General features: G+C 47.6%; 1 annotated feature.

The window, feature by feature from the left end:
- Window positions 738-913: a silencer, noted in NCBI's record as "fragment chr15:56341781-56341956 (GRCh37/hg19 assembly coordinates)". NCBI's record gives its function as "represses an EF-1alpha promoter that drives an FKBP-Casp9 reporter gene in an ReSE screen in K562 erythroleukemia cells {active_cell/tissue: K562}" and the evidence as "EXISTENCE:reporter gene assay evidence [ECO:0000049][PMID:32094911]".

Genomic DNA, 1,128 nt, shown 5'->3' with positions numbered 1-1,128 from the left:
CAAGAATGCTGGGCAGGGGCAGGGTAGGGATGGACTGGAGAACAGGCTGATGACCTGCACACCGATGACAAAGGCCAGCCAACTGAGATGGAACACGGTTTTGTTCTGTTTTTCACTTGCAAAACATTGCTTTTAAATATCTAGATCCAAAGCATAGAGGGCTAAGTTAAGAATTTTTAATGTAAACCATAGAGTAGAGAACATGAGGTCATGGCCACTTGCTGTCACAGAAAAAAAGGCAATAAAAACCCTTTCTCGTTTGGAGAGAGTCTGAGGAGGACAGGGCTCTCCAACTCTGTGAATGGGGCTGGGTAGGGAGGGAGAATCTGACTTTGGCTATTCCTCTAGAGGTTAGGGCTGGGGACGGTTCTGGGGGGTGATGTACCATTTCCATCTGGAAATTTTGAAGGACCCTGCCTTAAACAATGCCCCACACTGACATGGGAATGAAGTAGAGCAGCACTCTAGGACAGTGGTTTTCCATGGGGATTCTGGTGTTGTGTGTATCATGGGTGAGCTCCAGAGGCCACGTGCCTCTGTGCAGGAGGCACAGCCTCTGAGAGGGCCACGGCCCCGAGAACTGGATTCTAGTTAAGGAGGGCAGACACCTTGAGCAGGAGTTCAGCACAAGCACCACAGGCCTCTACAGCACAGGCTGGCAGGAGCAGTAGCCAGTGGTGCACACAGGAGAGACAGACACCTTGGTTGAGGCCAGCAAGGAGTGGAGGTCACAGAGGCTCAGGCCCTCCTCTCCACAGTGCAGTGCTGGATACATGCCACCTGCCACCTGCACTCACAGCATACCTCTGGGGCAAAGGGAAAAGGAGATTTTTTAAAGCCTAAGCATCGAGTTTGACTTCGAATTAATTAAATTTGAATTCTGAATTGGTTATTTTTCCAAAAGAAATGAGGTTTTAAACTGGATGTTTTTTATCTTCATGGGGCAGAATGAAATGTTTCTACCATTTGTAGAAATTAGGGGCTATTTTTATCGACAAATAAACTTACATTTCTTTGCATCTGACTTCAAACCTATTGCATGTGCAGGGTTTCGGTCAAGAATGCCTGCTCTGAGTTTAAACACACAGACCACACACACACACACATGCACACAGAGATCACTCACAC

This window comes from Homo sapiens, chromosome 15 (genome assembly GCF_000001405.40).
Source record: "Homo sapiens chromosome 15, GRCh38.p14 Primary Assembly".
NCBI classification, from domain to species: domain Eukaryota; kingdom Metazoa; phylum Chordata; class Mammalia; order Primates; family Hominidae; genus Homo; species Homo sapiens.
Note: the sequence above shows the minus strand (reverse complement) of the source record. Positions and strands in the feature narration are given on the sequence as shown.